The sequence below is a fragment of the Homo sapiens genome, chromosome 8 (genome assembly GCF_000001405.40).
Source record: "Homo sapiens chromosome 8, GRCh38.p14 Primary Assembly".
Taxonomy (NCBI): domain Eukaryota; kingdom Metazoa; phylum Chordata; class Mammalia; order Primates; family Hominidae; genus Homo; species Homo sapiens.
In genome coordinates this window covers 92,074,259-92,092,137 of record NC_000008.11, presented here as the reverse complement: position 1 = coordinate 92,092,137, position 17,879 = coordinate 92,074,259, and the positions used below count along the sequence as shown (strand labels likewise).

The 17,879-nt window shown below is 38.4% G+C and overlaps 1 protein-coding gene across 21 annotated transcripts in view, besides 1 other annotated feature; it reads left to right on the top strand.

Annotated features, from left to right (window-relative positions):
* RUNX1T1 (RUNX1 partner transcriptional co-repressor 1) overlaps positions 1–17,879 on the top strand; it is a 148,419-nt gene that overhangs the window by 11,248 nt on the left and 119,292 nt on the right. For 5 of the 21 annotated variants that reach the window (NM_175634.3, NM_001198628.2, NM_001198631.2 and 2 more), the window contains one exon: positions 16,001–16,173. The exons of 10 other annotated variants lie outside the window; for them this stretch is intronic. In NM_175634.3, coding sequence (NP_783552.1) covers positions 16,086–16,173 — 88 coding nt within the window. In that variant the 5' untranslated portion in view covers positions 16,001–16,085. Of the gene's footprint in view, positions 1–10,844; positions 16,174–17,879 lie in introns of those variants that run through there. 6 more of the 21 variants (XM_011517351.3, NM_001198627.2, NM_001198625.2 and 3 more) reach the window with 3 other exon arrangements.
* Positions 9,223–9,517: a silencer, noted in NCBI's record as "tiled region #8891; K562 Repressive non-DNase unmatched - State 24:Quies". NCBI's record gives its function as "represses a minimal TATA promoter and a strong SV40 promoter by Sharpr-MPRA in K562 cells {active_cell/tissue: K562}" and the evidence as "EXISTENCE:reporter gene assay evidence [ECO:0000049][PMID:27701403]".

The following is a 17,879-nucleotide window of genomic DNA, read 5'->3' as shown; positions in this document are numbered from 1 at the left end:
GACTGGTGAAATTTGGATGAGGTTCAATACTGACTCAACCTTGGATTGCAGTTTGGTGGGCTTGTGGCTATAGTAATTTGTCTGGGGTGAGACCTGATCACTGCTGAGGATCAATTAGCTGAGTTTGTGGCTTCACATGTGAATTGCTAGACACACTCTTCACAGATAAACTCAAAATATTTCAGGAATGTATAAAGGGGAAGGCAGGCACAGTGACACCTTAGCATGTTTGATATTAACAAATGCAGTGTTTCTTCTAAAACACCAACTCAAAAGAAGAGGTAGTTTGAAGAACAATGTTGAATGTGAGTATTTGCGATTACATGTATGGAACCAACCAAAGAAGTATGCTTTTAAGGAATGCAGTTTCCAGTTTCAAGCCCAAAGAACAGTTCAGTATGGCATGTCATGCTGGCATATCTTAAAGAGAGCTGGGCATCATGCGGCTATTTCCTCCAATATAGCACCAGTTTCTGACACTTTTAAGAAAAGATGCTGAATCACATATCAGTGTACAAAAAGTTTATTCACAGACATAATCCCTTCACTTGGGATGTGATCTTCTAATGAGAGTTGTTTTTGAAGCCACGGTACCTTACATGACACCAACAGGGGAGATTCCTGTGCCTCTTTTTGAAATGTTGATACTTGATGAAATCATGTCCAGGCTCTTACATCAGAACTACTGGTAAAGTAATGTCCCATGGTTGATGTTTAAAGTGTAAGACCTGCTTGTTTGAAAGAGCTTAAAACTGTCAATGTTGCCTACAACTACTAATATTTTCAAGGACCAAGAGATACCAACTTAAAATCATCTCCTTTAATAGTTCTAATTGTGATTACCTTTATAAAGTAATTCATGAAGGAATAAAGCAGGCATTTGTTTTGGTCGGTTTCATATCGATCAAGGCCTCTAAAGCAAATCACTATTTGGATGAATAGGGCCTTTAGAATATAGATCTTGTAGAAGAGGAATGCAGAGGGCACAAATGTGAAGTTTTCCCGTTGTGTCTCCAGCAATCTAAGCACCTCTAAGTGCCTTGGGGAATGTGATTGACTGGGTTCATTAATCTTTTAACACCTGGGGCACAGACCACTTCTAAGTGTGCTCAGGGCTCTTGAGGGCTGCTACTTAGTTGTTGGTCTTGGGAGAGAGGAGAGGAATTGATAAATACTAGAGACCTACTATGAGCCTGTCCTTCACCAACCTTCACATACATTCTCATCACTGATTTTAAGTAATTGATTAACCAGTGTTTCACTTTCTTCATTTCAAAGAACTCCAGCCCATTGCTCTGAGACTCTTGCCATAGTTACTCTTCTGGCTTGATCTTTTGCCCCAATTTAGAAAATTGAGGTTTCTTCGTATTCCCCAAATTAATGACTTACTTTGTGCCTGAGCTTTAGTAATTATTTAGGACCTTATTCTCTGAAAAATTGGCTGCATATTCTCTTCAGTGGCCATTTCTACTCATCCATTGTTTTCTTTCAGTTATCCCCTCTTCACCCCCACTTAGGAATCAGAGTTGGCTTCTAGCTGACATATCCTTGGATACTCACAAGTGTGTGCTAGTCTATATTCCTCAGTACCACCTGATCCAGGCTTCTCTATTACCAAATTCTGTTCCTGCATCAGAATACCTTCATTCTACACTGCACTGAGGCCATGAGGATTTAATCTGTTTTTGTTGTTGTTGTTGTTGAACTTATCCAGTATGCTGGAGTGATTTTCTGCCCAGTCCTTAGTTCTTGAGTCTTGTTCCTTTCGTAGTTGGTCACTCCATTATATCTTGATCTCAGCATTTCCCAGTTGGCCAGGTTCAACTTCCTGGTTACCTCTTAAGATAAGGTTAGAGGACTTGTACACCACCTTTACTGCTGGAAAAAAAGAGTTTGTAACTAGTTTCATAGTGTAAAGCTTTCTCCGTATTAGAAAAAAAAAAAAAAGGACCTGGTGTCTGTGTGCAGTCGCTTGACTAATAGGCAAACTGAAGTTCCCTTTCCAGTTCAATCACTGACTTGCTGGGTGGCCTGGGGTGCATTCCAGCCCTCAGGCAAATTTCTCAGAAGGCGAAGGGCAGACTTGGTGATTCTTAGGCTTCCCAACTCTCATACGGACAAGTCTCTGTGTGATACTGAAAGTAGGCTTTGGGGCTTTCCCAGGGTTAGGAGAGTGAAAAAAAAATGCTTTTTTTTTTTTTTTTTTTTTTTTAAATTCAGGGATTGGGGTGGGTGACACTATAAATCTTCATCTAACTGGGAAAGGGATCAGTGTGGAATATTACTATCATTCCAGTCTTCTCCATCATAAAGAAGAGCCATTATGGACTAGGGAGCCATTCTTTCCATAGCTATCCTAAATCTTAGATGATTATCTGAAATTTTTGTTTTTACGATTCCTTTTTCAGAGGTGAATGATGTAGGAATAAATCTGTTTATGTAGTGAGGAGGGAACTAAAGAGTCTGGGTCTTGTCCAAGGAAAATTGCCTTTATGCTTTCGCCTCATAGTTACTGGACAAGATGATGAACTCAGCGCCTAGGGGTGGGAGTGAGGGGCTAGGGGCTGAGGTGGATGGGGTTGCTTGTGTTTAGCCAGGCATTCACCATACCCCCGGTCTCAAAGTTTGGACTCGCTTCACTTGGGAAATTTAGAAAATGACCTCTTTAAGCCATTTTTTGGAGAGAACCTGGTAGCTTGTTTAATTGAACATGGGCACATTATCATCTGGCTAGGAATCAGATCTCAGGAAAGACTAAACAATTCTCTTTTTGTCTGAAGAAATAGTTTGCTATTGCTTCTAAAATAATTAAATAATTCAATTATTACCTATTGATTTTGTACTTTAGTTTGTAAAACTGATGTAGGTGATTAAAATATAGACATTATTAGAGATTTGATTCTAATTTGGGTGGTTATAAATAGTAAACCCAGGCTAGGGTTTCTTTTGAACTTAAGAGTTATTGGCATTCTTCTGGTTTGATCAAGGTGAGCACTTCCTCATCATCCAAAATGACAGTGGAAGCTTACTGTTTACTAGGATGTCAGGGATTGGTTTGGCTTGGAAGTAATGATATTTTCATCTGACATTAGAAATGGATGTCAGAGGAAGCACTGTTGCTTCATAGGCTGTAGAAAATTTTTGCATTGGTATTCAGAGTTCAATGGGAAGTCAAATTGAAGTTCTTTGCCACAAAGGAGAATGTCTTAAGCGTATATATACAGTGAACTCGTAGTTGGTACTAACTGGGTTGAATATTATGTCAGAGAAATATTAGATAAAATATTAGCAGCAGTAATGGTAATTTGTCTAAAGAAGCTCAAGAGATGGGTGGCCACCGATAATATGAAGGGAAACAGTGTCAGAGCAGTAATGAGCTAGACATGGCCACGTAATGAGATAATTAGAGCACTAGGAGAGAGAACTAGCTGTGAGATGTTATTATAAAGAGTATCTGGGAGGACTCTTCCACTAGACTTTTTGGAGAATCCACCTAGTAACTCTTAGTGAGGAGACCAGAGCCTAATATTAGGAAAGCAGATCTATAATGGTACCTAAAAGGGTTGGCACAGATCATGGTGCCAGGGAAATAGCACAGCTGTATTGTGGAAAATACTTCAAATGCACATTGACAAGTGGAGTATCAGAAATTAGGAAGTTATCCCCACTGGTTATAAGCATGGTACAAGCTGCGCTTTAAATGCAGTCTTGGGAAGTTGATTAGACTAGCTTAAACTAGAAGTACTATACCCCTTTCCCTAACCTCAAGATACAGGGGCATGTGAACTGTAAGACAGGTCAGGGAAGACTAATAGCTTATTTTCTGAGTCTATGCATATGTTATGTACACAGTGATGAGCAAATACAGCTGGGAAGAACAGCAGATGATATTGGGATTGGAACTGGGTGTTTATCAGACTGACATAGTAATCCTCCTTTCCTGTGAAAGTGTTCTTTTTAAGTGACTGCTGGGATTCTGTAACTTTTGTAACTTTTATCATGTGTCACACAAGGAGTGTGCTTTACTCCACAGCTCCTTTGCCCACCTGTCACACATTTTCATTCTCCGGTTCAGCTAGATTTATTTAGAAATGAGTTCCGCATTTGACCTCTGATGAGAAACAAATGTGGACAATGAATTCTCATCCTTTTGTTTAAATAAAGGTAGGTAGGTCAGTTCATGTCTAAAGGAAGAGTTAATGTGATCAGTCTCCATTGATGTGCCTAAGATTTGAGTTGGCTCGAGAGAGCAGGTATAAAATATTGGAGGAAAATATAGGTGAAGAGCAATAAAATGTGAACAACCCATTAAACCTGATTTGACTACTTATAAAGAAAGTCACATGCTGTTTTGGTAGCCATGGTAAAGACACCTTTTACAGCATCTGATAGAAAAGTAAAATGTTTACTCTTGGGAGTGAATCTGAAGTACATGGATAAATATTTAGTAAATGTTTTCTATGTGTAAAGCTGTGTGCTAGATGTAGACACAAGCAGGTAGTCGGCTCAGTTCCCACTGAATGATAAACTCAGGACAAATTAAATAGCTACATAGATCGTGGAGCTTGATCAGTTACCAATTAAATGGTGCAGCAAGTGAGATTTTAGAGGCAGGTGTGAATTGGAATTTAAGCTTGTCTTGAGACAGGTAGGATTCATCAAGGCAAAGTTATTGTAATAGGATTGTGGTAGGTTATACAATAGGAATAGGGAATGCAGAAGCCTAGATGTGGAAAAGACTTTGGAGGAGTATTGGGGTGGAGTAGGGGTGGAGAGAGAATAAATTAATACTGTGGCTGCAGCAAAAAGGGCCCTTGGGTGTTGAGTGGGAAATGAGAGCAGAAAGATCATAAATGTCTTGAATATCAAGCATTTTGATTTAAGCTTCAACTTCTGAATTCACCAGACATTTTTCAGCTGTGTCCTGTGGAGTGCCTCAGGGTTGGGAGGTGGGATGGAGGGTACCCAGATTGGGCACAGGGTCTTCCATCCCCTAACCACCATAAAAGCAGAATAGCTCTGCTTTTATAATAAATTGCTTTATATATTTGATTTTCTAGCTGGGCGTCTTTTGAACAGAGGAGTCTGTGATAAAATAGATCTTTATAAAACCAAGGTTAAAATAAAAATTGAGCTAGGCAAAAGGAAACCCTGCATCCAATAACAGTTATGTTTGCAAAGAGTTGGTCCTAATGTGAGGGGCCAGATGGACTGGAGGCCAAGGCCAGGCGAGAAGCTTGTTGCTGCAGTTTAGGTTTTAGATATTGCAGAAGGATGACCAGCGTTGGGTTTGTGGGATGAGAAGGAAGAGGCAGGGGCAGGAGGTATTGCAAAGGAAAAATAATTAGCACTTGGATAGAGCAGTGGATTTAGAGAGGGGGAAGTTATTAATACCAACCTGGATTTACTATCAAGTGCTCTTAACTTGCCAGAAGCTGGGACTCACTTCAGGTGTTTGTTTAGAGGCAGCTTTGTTACCCTACCCCAGACTCATAGAATCACAGCTTCTAGAGAAGAGCTTCAGAATCCATTTGCAGACCTCGGTCCCAGGGCTTCTGGTGGTCCCAGCTGCCTTTCGGAGATGGTGACAGGGCTGTCAAGTGGTGGGTGTTCCTTAAAATGCGGTTGTTACATAAAAGATCTGTTATTTACCACTGTAGGACTTGGCTCCCTCATGTGTTTTGCCTCTTTCCACAGATTTCAAACTCTTCTTTGAGTTTCTCTTTTGCAGGTGCCCTCAGGCCGTGCAGGAGAATGCAAAGTGGTCAGGTGGGCTGGGTTCTGGGACCCTTAACTTCTCATTTGACCAGTGCAGCCTGCTTTATAAATTTCAAACATTGGACTTTGTTTGTAAAATAATTTATAAAACTTCTTTGAATTCTAACATGGTAAGAAGGAGAGAAGGTAGAGATGACAGCATATGGAGTTAAGGAGTAGCTGATGAAAGCAGTGCTTGTAAACCAGCAGGCCTCAGACTTGGGCTCAGTGCTCTTGGAGGAAGAGGGAGCTTGGTTATTTAAAGGTGCTTTTGAATCTAGATTCATTTGTTCAGTACCCCAAGCACTGTCTGTAGACCAAATACTTTTTCATGTGATGATATTTTTCAAATCTACTCTAAATGAAAAGAACAAAAAATGCATTAAAATCTACTGAGTTTAATAGAAATGTCTATCCATTTTACAATTAACAGATAGTAAACTAAATACTATGATGTGCTGAGCCATACTTTTTTTAAATGGAGGAGTTGTTTTGGAAAAGTAAAGGAATTTCTTTAACATGTTAAAGAGCCGTCAATCCTTATTGCTCACTCTTAGTTGACCCCTATGTGAGAGATTTTAGTTATTGGAAGAAACAACAAAAAAATCTACCTGGGTGAGGACTTTTAGGATATGGTTCATTAAGATAATATTATTTCAAGGTCTTTATCTTGTTTTGTCTGATAACACTTAATTTAAAAACATGCTGGCAATTCTTTTTATTTTTTGAACTTTAACCATATTTGGAGTTTGTGGTTTTGTTCTAAAATCTGTCAGAATTGGATTTTTTAAGACTTCTCCCTCTGTAGTGAATTATGCTTGATAAGAACTAATTATTAAGCATAAAGAAATCAATCTTTTTTAAAGAATGAAACATTTATGTGTGTTGATACAGAATCGTTCCTGAGATATATCATTAAATGAGCAAAGCAAGGAGCAGAAGAATGTCTGTAGAATGCTGTGTTTGTACAAAAAAATGCATAGAATTCTACTTGTGCAAGTATATACAAGAATCTGACAATAGTGCTTGCTGTTAGGGAAGAAAGCAGGGCCAGGAAGTAGTGGTGGAAGGAGCCTTTTTGCTGTATGTCCTTTGGTACTCTGAGTCATTTTACAAATCTTTTGCCTGTGTCGCCCAGGTTGACTGGTCTGGGCCTCTGCCCTTCCAGAGGGAAGTGATGCTGCTCTTCCCTGCCAGAAGGCAGTCGAGTATAGTGATGAAGAGACCTAACTCCCAAGTGCTTTACCATTTATCTCCTTTAGCTACCCTTTTCATCTAGAAATAATTTTCATCTGGATAATAATGGCATGGCCTCATAGGGTGGTCATGAGGATGACGTGATATGTGTGAAGCACAACCTTCAGTAAAGGGTTGCTTTTTCTTGGCATCTGACTTGATGGCTATGGAACTGTTCATCACTTCCTTCTCTAAACCCCAGTAGTCTCTCTTTGGCTGCTTCTTCATTCAGCAAATGCTTAATAGACGATCTGGCCCTGATGGACACTGGGGGATATGAGGATGTTGAAGACAAATGACACCCTGCTTTGCCAGGCCTTTCCTGGACCTCTCTCTCTCAGCCTTCTCTAAAACCCTGGGTTGCTTCACGTTTGGACACCTAAGCTCTTTCTGCAGGGAAGCCAAGCTTGGCTCACTTTGTCCTCTCCTAAGCCTCTGGTGACACTTTCATGACCCTTCCTCCCCAAAGATAGAATTTATTACATCCAACTCTGCTATCATCCGTGCAATTCAGACTTCTCTGCTGGTTTGTAAGACCTTCAAAAGTGGGAGTCTGGAACAGTTGGGGTACTTTCTAATGCTTTGTTAAATAATTATTGAGAGCTCATGCCTTGAACTCAAGTGATTTACTTGAAACTGTCCTGAAATATTTCACTGCTGAGACTAAAGTGAAATCTTTGGTTCCAACAGCATGTTGTTTTTTTTCTCAACCTCTTTCCACCTTGGTCGCTTTCATTGCGTTCTCTTGTCAAAGAATGCACAATTTATTGCTGTTATATTTTGGCTTATAAGTTTTGGCAACTAAAAAACATACAATAAAACAAAAGCAAAATCCACCCCCACCCCCACCTCCTACTCCAAACAAAACACCCCATCTTTTATTTTTATTTTTATTTTTATTATACTTTAAGTTCTGGGATATATGTGCAGAACGTGCAGGTTTGTTACATAGGTATACATGTGCCATGGTGGTTTGCAGCAACCATCAACCTGTCATCTACATGAGGTGTTTCTCCTAATGCTGTCCCTCCCTTAGCCCCCCACCCCGACAGGCCCCGGTGTGTGATGTTCCCCTCCCTGTGTCCATGTGTTCTCATTGTTCAACTCCCACTTATGAGTGAGAACATGCATTGTTTGGCTTTCTGATCTTGTGATAGTTTGCTGAGAATGATGGTTTCCAGCTTCATCCATGTCCCTGCAAAGGACATGAACTCATTCTTTTTTATGGCTGCGTAGTATTCCATGGTGGATATGTGCCACATTTTCTTTATCCGGTCTGTCATTGATGGGCGTTTGGGTTGGTTCCAAGTCTTTGCTATTGTGAACAGTGCTGCAATAAACATATGTGTGCATGTGTCTTTATAGTAGAATGACTTACAATCCTTTGGGTATATACCCAGCAATGGGATTGCTGGGTCAAATGGTATTTCTGGTTCTAGACCCTTGAGGAATTGCCACATTGTCTTTCACAATGGTTGAACTAATTTATACCCCCACCAACAGTGTAAAAGTATTCCTGTTTCTCCACATCCTCTCCAGTATCTGTTGTTTCCTGACTTTTTAATGATCACCATTCTAACTGGTGTGAGATGGTATCTCATTGTGGTTTTGATTTGCATTTCTTTAATGCCCAGTGGTGATGGATGAGCTTGTTTTCATGTTCATTGTCTGTATAAATGTCTTATTTTGAGAAGTGTCTGTTGATATGCTTCACACACTTTTTGATGGGGTTGTTTTTTTCTTGTAAATTTGTTTAAGTTCCTTGTAGATTCTGGATATTAGCCCTTTGTCAGATGGGTAGATTGCAAAAATTTTCTCCCATTCTGTAGGTTGCCTGTTCACTCTGATGGTAGTTTCTTTTGCTGTTCAGAAGCTCTTTAGTTTAATTAGATCCCATTTGTCAAGTTTGGCTTTTGTTGCCATTGCTTTTGGAAAATACCCCATCTTTAGGCAAACTGCGAAGTGGTCAAGCCACTTGGATCTTCATAGATGCACACTGTAACTTTTTATTTTATTTTCTTACCCTGAAGTTCATAAATGGGCTTTAATAAAGGATAAGCTTCTTGAAATTATAAGCAAAATTTTATGTATATGGACATTTTTATGAGATCGAACAATTTCTTTGATCAAGGGTCCGAACAAGGCTGAAAACCATTGTAGTGGCTTCCAGATTTTCCCTACCAGATTCCCTCCAGTTGTCCCTTAGTTGCCACGGTCTCCCTCTTCCTTCTCTCCCTCCTCCTTCTCTCCCTCCTCTCTTCCTCTGGATACCCATATCTGCTTTCTGGACAGATCCCCAGTCTGAGTACTCTTCCTCCAGGACCCTTCCCCCGACATTCCTTCCCATCCAGTCTGGTCTTTTGTCTGACATTGTGTGGGATTCCAGCTGCTCTACTGCCTGATGAATCAGCTTCAGAACCACAGATGGTACTGAACAGTGAGGTAGGTCCATCTCAGCCTGAGATGCCGTGGCTCACAATGCGGAAATGGTAAAGAGTCTCACTGTTTTTTCTTCAGGAAACCTTTTTATTGAAAGAGACAGTTTCGGCAGTGCAGCCTTCAGTTTCTTAATGCAAGTGACTGGACAATTTTAGACAGCTGTGTGTGGGGCCTCAAGGGAGGACTTGATGGAATGATGTTTTCATATTGTCTTAATATCGACTTGTGAGTGAGCTAATTTTGTAAGTCACTCTTAGAGATCTACTCTCTTACCCAAGATGACCCTGTGCACATGACGGGGCAAGGTCTGAACCTAGATTTTCTTCAAGACTTCACTATTCCAGAGCTTACTACTCTCCTGGAATTCTTCAAACCCTACCACGTAGGAATTTTCTACATGAACAGGGTCAGCCACACTAATTACAGCAGGGAATGATACTAAAGTACAAATGGAAAACTATCAAAACCTTTCACTGCACTTAGAAAAGTTACTGTTTACAGTACAAAAATACCACAACTTAGGCCAGGCGCGGTGGCTCAAGCCTGTAATCCCAGTACTTTGGGAGGCTGAGGCGGGCGGATCACGAGGTCAGGAGATCGAGACCATCCTGGCTAACACGGCAAAATCCCGTCCCTACTAAAAATACAAAAAATTAGCCGGGCGTGGTGGCAGGTGCCTGTAGTCCCAGCTACTTGGGAGGCTGAGGCAGGAGAATGGCGTGAACCTGGGAGGCGGAGCTTGCAGTGAGTGGAGATTGCGCCACTTCACTCCAGCCTGGGCGACAGAGTGAGACTCCATCTCAAATAAATAAATAAATAAATAAAATACCACAACTTTCCAAGTTTCTGAGAGACAAGAGACAAAGGGAGGGAGGAAGAGAGGAAAGGGGGAAAAAGAGAGAGAGAGATCAGTTGATAGGAGCAGCAGCAACCAGGCCATGCTGGCAACTGGACAGTTGTTATAGCCTCTTGAGATGTGTGACCATCAACCACGAATGCAGATATTTCCAAAGTTCCATTTTTTTTTTTCCAGGTGGAAATTGCTGGCATGGAACAGATGCCTTTATTTGGAGAAAACAGTCTTTGTAAATGATTCTGGTTCTGTCTCCTCTTATTCCCTAGAGAGAGTCTTTCCCAGATGAAATTAGATTTAAAAAAAAAAAAAAAAACTACCAAACATCAGTTTATGTTTTTTTTTTCATCACACCAAAATGTTTTAGAGCCTGCAGCTTAATTCCACATATTTTGGTTTTGTTGACTGATCCTAGGTATTTTGTTTTTATCACTAATAGTGCAGTAATTACTTTCAGAAAGAAAAAGATTATGATTGTACTGATATTTTTGAGTAGTGACCTTTGCTTTCATTTATTTCATATTTAATTATATTAAAATAGGTACTACCTCTTTTCTAGTATCAAATGATAAGAACTGAGCACACTGGATGAAATAATACTTGCACTGGGAGCACTAAGGTAGGCGCTTTACAAGTATTATCTCCTCATATCATCCTGATAAGTTAGGTGTTATTATCTTACTTTGGAGATTTAAATCTGAAGCTTAGAGAGGTTAAGTGACTTGTCCAAGGTCAAATAGCTGATGAGTAAGTGTAAGAACTGAGATTCCAATCCAGCCAGAGTGCGTATACAGTGGGCTTCTAAATGGCCCGCGTGTGTAGGCCACAGTCATTTATAACACTTTATTTTTTGAAAATTAAATTATATCTGCAACAGAGAAGATATTTAAGAGCTTCCTACCATTTAAAATTGCCTGGTTTGTTAACTCACTGGTCATATTGCGTTGTTGATACTTAGTTGGTTGCCTACCTTCTGATTAATTTGTTACTTAAAAATATTTGTAGGATTTTGAAATAATGCCTTATCACAAGAGAAAGGGGCTTGAAGAAAGACCAGATCATATTCCATTATCAGTTATTCCCTGTTTACTCAGTCAGTATTTAGTGAACACCTTTTGTGTGCCAGGCACTGTGCTAGGCACTGGGTATGGGCATTGTTGAATAAACATGGCCATGCTCTTGCAGCCCTGCCAATGGAATGAATAGAGTGCATCAATGTAGGGTCCAAAGGTGTAAGAAATTAAGATTGGATCTCATTTCTACAACAGCTGACATGCTCAATTGTGAGATAATCCAATGCATAAAAAGCTGCTAGAGTGCACTTATGCCTTAAAGGTTGTATGGACTCTGCTGCAGTTCCCAGTCACAGTGTCCTGCTGCTCAGTGTGGGACAAAGGGCTGGCTTCATAGCCGTGGATGTCGTGGGTGATTTCCATGCTGCCCTATCTCTATACAGCACCAGTGGGAATGGGCTTCTGTGAACAGTACCTGGCAGGTAAAAGGTTGCAGAGCCTGATGTAGACCCAAAGTACTATAGTATAAAGAAGAGAAAAAGATCACAGGTCACAGAAGTAGCCACGGAAAGGTTTGCCAAAGTCATGGGGATTGAATTGGGCTTTTGTGGCATTTCATTGAGTGGGATTCATTTGTTTTTCTTTTCATTTGGGGCTACAACTAGGTTCCTAGTCCAGTTCCAAATGTGGAGGGTAGAGTAATGAGCACCCCCCAGATGAGACCCTAGCTCTCACAGAGCTTGCAGTTTGGGTGGGGGAGGGAGAAAGATAAAAAAGAAGTTACTAAGATTATTTCATGTAGTGCTAAATATAATTAAGACAATTAAGAAACAATGTTAGAATGATGCAGAGGGTGGGGGGACATGGTAGTGAGACTTTATTTCAAATGGTTGGGGAAATCATCTGTCAGGTGGTGACTCTTGAACTAAAGCCTGAGGGTTGAGGAAGAACTGGCCGTGCAGCAGTCTATGGGAAGGGCCGTGAAGTCAGTGAACGAAGCCACCAGCATGAGAGGAAGTGTTCCATCAGGGAGTTTATCCAGCCAGAGAAGAGCTGCACTCTGGAAGGGCGTGGTTGGAGTGGAGGCTGAAAACTGTAGATGAGTGCCAAGTGATGGAGGGTCTTGTATGTGAGATTAGGCAAGAATAAGGACTGTGTGTTTCTGTGTGTGAATGTAGGAGATGAGTAGTTAGAAGAGAGAAGGAGAATCTGGATGAGTGTATGCATGGAAGCTTAAGGAAGCTTGTGAAACTAGGATAATGACATTTAGTTCACATGACCTGCGATGAGGGGCACCCAAATCACACAGTGTCTCAGTTACTTCCTGTTGGAAGTTGAGTATAGTCCTGAAGTGAGGCATAGATGGTGCTCTGTTCACTACTCCTTCAAATTAGAGGGACACACAATTGCTTACAAAGAAATGGTGAAGCTTTGACAAAGGTAAGCTACAGTCCAGTGCCAGAAACTGTACTTACCAAGGTAATATTTCCTAAGTCAGATATGCTATAACAGGTTCCTTTTATGGTGATTCCCCTTGGAAACAAAAACTAAGTGTACATTTGTTCATGTAAAATAATAGCTTTTATGATATAAAATGTTTCTATGAAGGAAAAGAAAAGAGTTAGAGTTAAGGTTTGATTCAACCCAGGTTGATAGATAAAAAGAGGTGTGTTTAAATGCTCATTTTTGGAATAACCATGTATCATTTACTAAAGGAAAAAGTGCCCCAAATGTTGATAGAATTCTCTAGAGAAATGTGTTTAGGCAGTGAAAGGATTCCTGGCAGTGATTGAGAAATACAGTAATGGGGAACTGCACTTGATCTCTTTTGAGGTTGATTCTGATGTGTGTAGTCTTTACATCCTATTAAATTTTTGAAAGATAAACTGATACAAGAATGATTTGCCAAGGCCATATGAGGTTAACTGAATTCAAATAGAAGGTTCTCTCAAGTTATTGCATTCCTTAGAAAATAAATACATTGCGCATATGGTTAAGATTGATCAAAAAAGTATTCTGTATGCCAATGATTACATTCCCATCTGTGATTAAGGTTTTCTGTCTGCATCTGGTTTTCACATTATATTTCTGTAACAAGAATCCTTTATATAGCAGAGTTCACTTTCTGTATTTTCTATTAGTTGCAGCTTGAACTACTGCACGGATCGCAGATTTGCACATGTGGTTTTCATTACTTCATACCATTGAGAAAAAGTAATATTTGTTTGGGAATGTATGTTTTCCACAATTTCCATGGTAATACAACATGTTGAGCCTTTTAAATAACACTTGTAGAACTACAAATTGTTTGAGGCATTCTGCTCTTGGTGGAGCTTAGCTTTTAAACTTTTCTCAGTATGTTCCCCTCGTAATGAGGTTTTACAAATTTGAGGGCTGAGCATCCAGATCTGAACAAAGCAATTATTAAAGATAGAGAGATTTTATTATCACTTCCATGTGACAGACTTCAGTGCGGAATAGGTCTCAGAAATACCTGAACATCGTGCTTATTACCATTACTTATTTTATTATTATTTCATATTGGAAGGGCATTTAATGTGTTGGAGATATGAAGCACAAATGTGACACTCCAGTCATTGTTTTGAAAAATCCAAAGATTAGCTCTTTTTTTTTTTTTAGTTACCCTTTTGATTGTGATATATTGTTTCATATATAAAATAGTTAAGTGGTGAAAATCCTCATGGGTGACTTTAGATTTACATTGTATATTGTTTGAAACTGTATTTGTACACTATGTTAACATTTAAGAATTTATAAATATGCACATTTAAAATACTTTGTTATCACCATGTTCCTGCCAATTTTCTTCATTCACTTCAAAAAACTCTGATTAAAATAGATACAAGTGAAGTTAAAAAGTAAAGCAGTATATTCCAAATTGAGAGATCATTTTTAATTGAGAAATTTGTCTTAAAGTTTATCACATGGTAATTTTATGTGCCTCAAAACCAAGATTAAGTACCCCATTTTTGTTAAACCCAGACATTGGTCTGATATTTAGCAGTCATGAGAAGGAAGATATAGACTTAGACTCTAGAGGATTTGTATATGCTTTGCCTGGTTCGTTTGCTCAGTAGAGATTATTAACTATGGCTCATATAGGGGCATGATCCACTTTTGTCAGGCTCTCTGATGGCCTTTGTTGATGGTTGCTGAAGCACAAAATATATATTATGATTGAATCTAAGAAGAGTATACATTTTCTTTTTTCCCAATATTTGTTTAGCCTATATAAAATGTTTTTTACCTTTGTACAGAAACATTGGAAATAACAGAATTGTGCAGAAAAGTTACTCACATTGCCATCTTCCAGAAATAATCATATTTAACATCTAGATGTATTTACTTTCAGTCTTCCCCGCTGTGTGCACCCTCCCCCACTCCACTATTTGAGTACTTACACAACCTATACGTGTACATATATTTATGTATCTTGGTTATAGCATTGAAATTTTTTGCTTTATCATTTGTTAATAAAATTGTTAGTATTTATAGTAAGCTAAATGTTTCCAAGATCCAGCTGATTGTCTTTAATGATCTTTGCTTACTGCAAGGCAATTCCCAACTAAGAAATATCTAGTAATGTATTTTAATTAATCAGTACTTATTTAATTTTTAAACCTTAAAGAGCAAGAAACAACTGATTGCATCACAAAAGAATCATAATGTGGCACATAAACTACATTGATTTTTTAAAAAATAGAACCTGCTTGTTTTATTTACATCAGAATATGTTCACCGATTTTAATTTCTAGGAAGTAATTTGGTCTCAAAAAATAATAGCTACAGCCTTAGTAATTCCTTTTGAGACTGCTTTTAGAAATCTTTCTTCCCTTGCATTTGTTGAGTTCCTACCTTATATGTGTATGATTGTGCTGGACCCTTATATTTCCTAGTTTGTAAGAATTACATAGCAATACTTTTTCTATTCATAGTAGTGATAGTAGTGGTCTCATTTTTAATCATAGTAGGTGAGGAATAGACAATAAATATTGTGAATGAACAAATTCTAAGTTTGTCAAATATAGCAGGAAAAATGAGAAAATTTATATTATTAAAAGGAAGAAAAGGTGTAGAAGTTTGTTGATTTGGTAAAATAATTCAACAATATTTGTTTCATTAATATTTTTTAACTATTCTATTACATAAGGATTATTCTTCACTGTTGTTTTAAACTATGTGTGCTAATAATGGCAATACTGAAATTTCAGAACAGCGAAACAAAATTTGAATAATGAAACAAACCACTTTGTTTTGAAACAGGATTAACTTGTGTGTAAAATTCCATAAATAATAATGTCTAAATTGTTTTCTAAAGAAAACATAATATCTGACAGATTATTTATTTTTTTGAAACAGGTAAAATGTAACATTCTCTTAGGGTATTGATGTGCATATCTTTAAAACCAATTTAAGAAAAGAAGAGCTTTCAGGGTGAGAATGTATCCAGCTTTGAGTCAGATGATTGGAAAATTAAGAGTCCTTTAGAAAACATCATGATAGGAACTGAGACAATGGGGATTGTTTTGGATTCTTCTAAAATTTAGAAGAGCTTGTATCTGTTTTTTTTTTAAACAAAACATAACAAAACTGGCCTAGTGTTATCATGTAAACAGATGGGTATGATACTTCAGACTGGTTGTGATATATGCATTTTTTTTCCCTTTGTTGTTGTCAATAGAAAAGATTGATCTCTGGGCTGGTGAACATAATCTCTGTCCCAGTCAGAAAAGGAGAGAGGAAATTAGCAGAGCGATTGGTGGAGAATGATATCTGTCAAAAGAAACACTTGGAGAGCACTGAGTTTAGTAATAGGTGACTGCCGGAAAAAAGGGAACTTTGAATATTGTCAAGGTAAGGAACAGACAAATATTTTGATTTTGCAATTTACTTACGTACCAGAAAAATCAATCTATTTTTTCCAATAAATTATAATTGTAAAGATTTTCTTTTTTCTTCCTTCTTCTAGTGCCTGTTCTATTGTATGTTTTAAACATTTGTCTTTGAAATCTTTGGGTGTGGGGATTGGGTGGGGATCAATCTGGTGGTGGGAACCCTGTTTGATAGTTTTGGGTCTGAATATATCAAATGATCAAGTACCAAATTTTTTCACCCTCTTCTTGTTGCAGTGCTTCTTGCCATGTTTCATAATACATCTGTTATAAGCTGAGCAATACTTGGAGTTAAAGAGTAAAAACTATGCCATGATTTCTGTGTTTATTGTAACGAGGAGATGGTGTTTTCTGAAACAGTTTGTTGACTAAATAGGCAAAAAACTGCCTTTCAGTTTATTATTTCTTCTGATGTATTTGGATTTTTAAAAAACTTTTAGGCAAATGTCACTTCCTAAGCAGAGTTCATTCCATAGACACATTAAGAAAAAAGGTGATATCTTAATTTAGGAAAACAGCAAATATAAACTAAATGTATTGCCATTTGGCAAGAGACTTCTTAAAGTCTGCAATATTTGAAAATTCAAGGAAGCCCTGAATTATGGGAGAGAGTTCATGTCTCCTGTAGCCAGCTCTGTTCCAGGTTTAGTGGATAGTGGACTTGTGCAGAAGCACCAGGGCATAAGGATCCACTGCTAAGAAAAAGTTGAGAGTCAACACAAATGTTGTGTGATACTGGTTGGCACTCTAGTGGTTGGGAAGAGATTTTAAGTTCTGTGACTGACTGACTGACTACGTAGAAAGAGGGGGAGCGAAATACTCACCCTTGGTGACCACTGTTCTGGAAACATCACTGCTAGCATCCACCCCACAATGTCTACTCTTGCCATTTTTACAAATGCTTATAGGCTTGTTCTTAAAGTTCTCAGGAAGGTGTTGGAAAATAAAGTTGTTGTTTTTTTTTCTTGAAAGACCAGAGAAAATGAAATAATTCCCTGTAGGATGATACACTCCTTTGGGGAAGCCTTAATCATGATTTGGTTTCTGTGTCTGTATTTCCCTTCTTTTCATTCCTCCTTCTTCATACTGTGATGATGTTCTTTTAATACAATTAATGAGAGACATCAATTCAAAAGAGAAGGCAAGGAGTTCAATTGTTTAAGCAGTTGAGACATCTCCCATGACTACTTCTCTTTTCTTAACCTTATGCACTGTTGTTACTAAACATTGGTTTTTTGAGAACTCAGATCTTGGTTGATTAGCCTGCTAAAGTCTTGCATAGAGAAAAAGAAAAGGTATCAATATCTTAAAGGAAAAATCTAATAATAATAACCATCCCGCTTTAGAATTGTTTTCTTGTCATCTTCCACCAGTTTGGGCTTCCACATTAAGCTTGGGCTTAATGTGTCTGTGGAACTCCTTGGTTTCTGCCTTATGTATCTGCGTGGAGTTTGTATTAATATGATAAAGATATCTAAGATGCAGATTAAAAATCAAAAAGGATATTGGACTTTAAAGCTTGAACATATTGCAGATACATAGAGTTACTATCTTTACCCACTCGCATTCCATCACAATCTATTCCTTTCTGGTCATGTGGAATATATCTGTGGCCTGCTGGCAATGAACCATTGCAGCATGGAAGATCTATATTGAAAGCAAAAATGC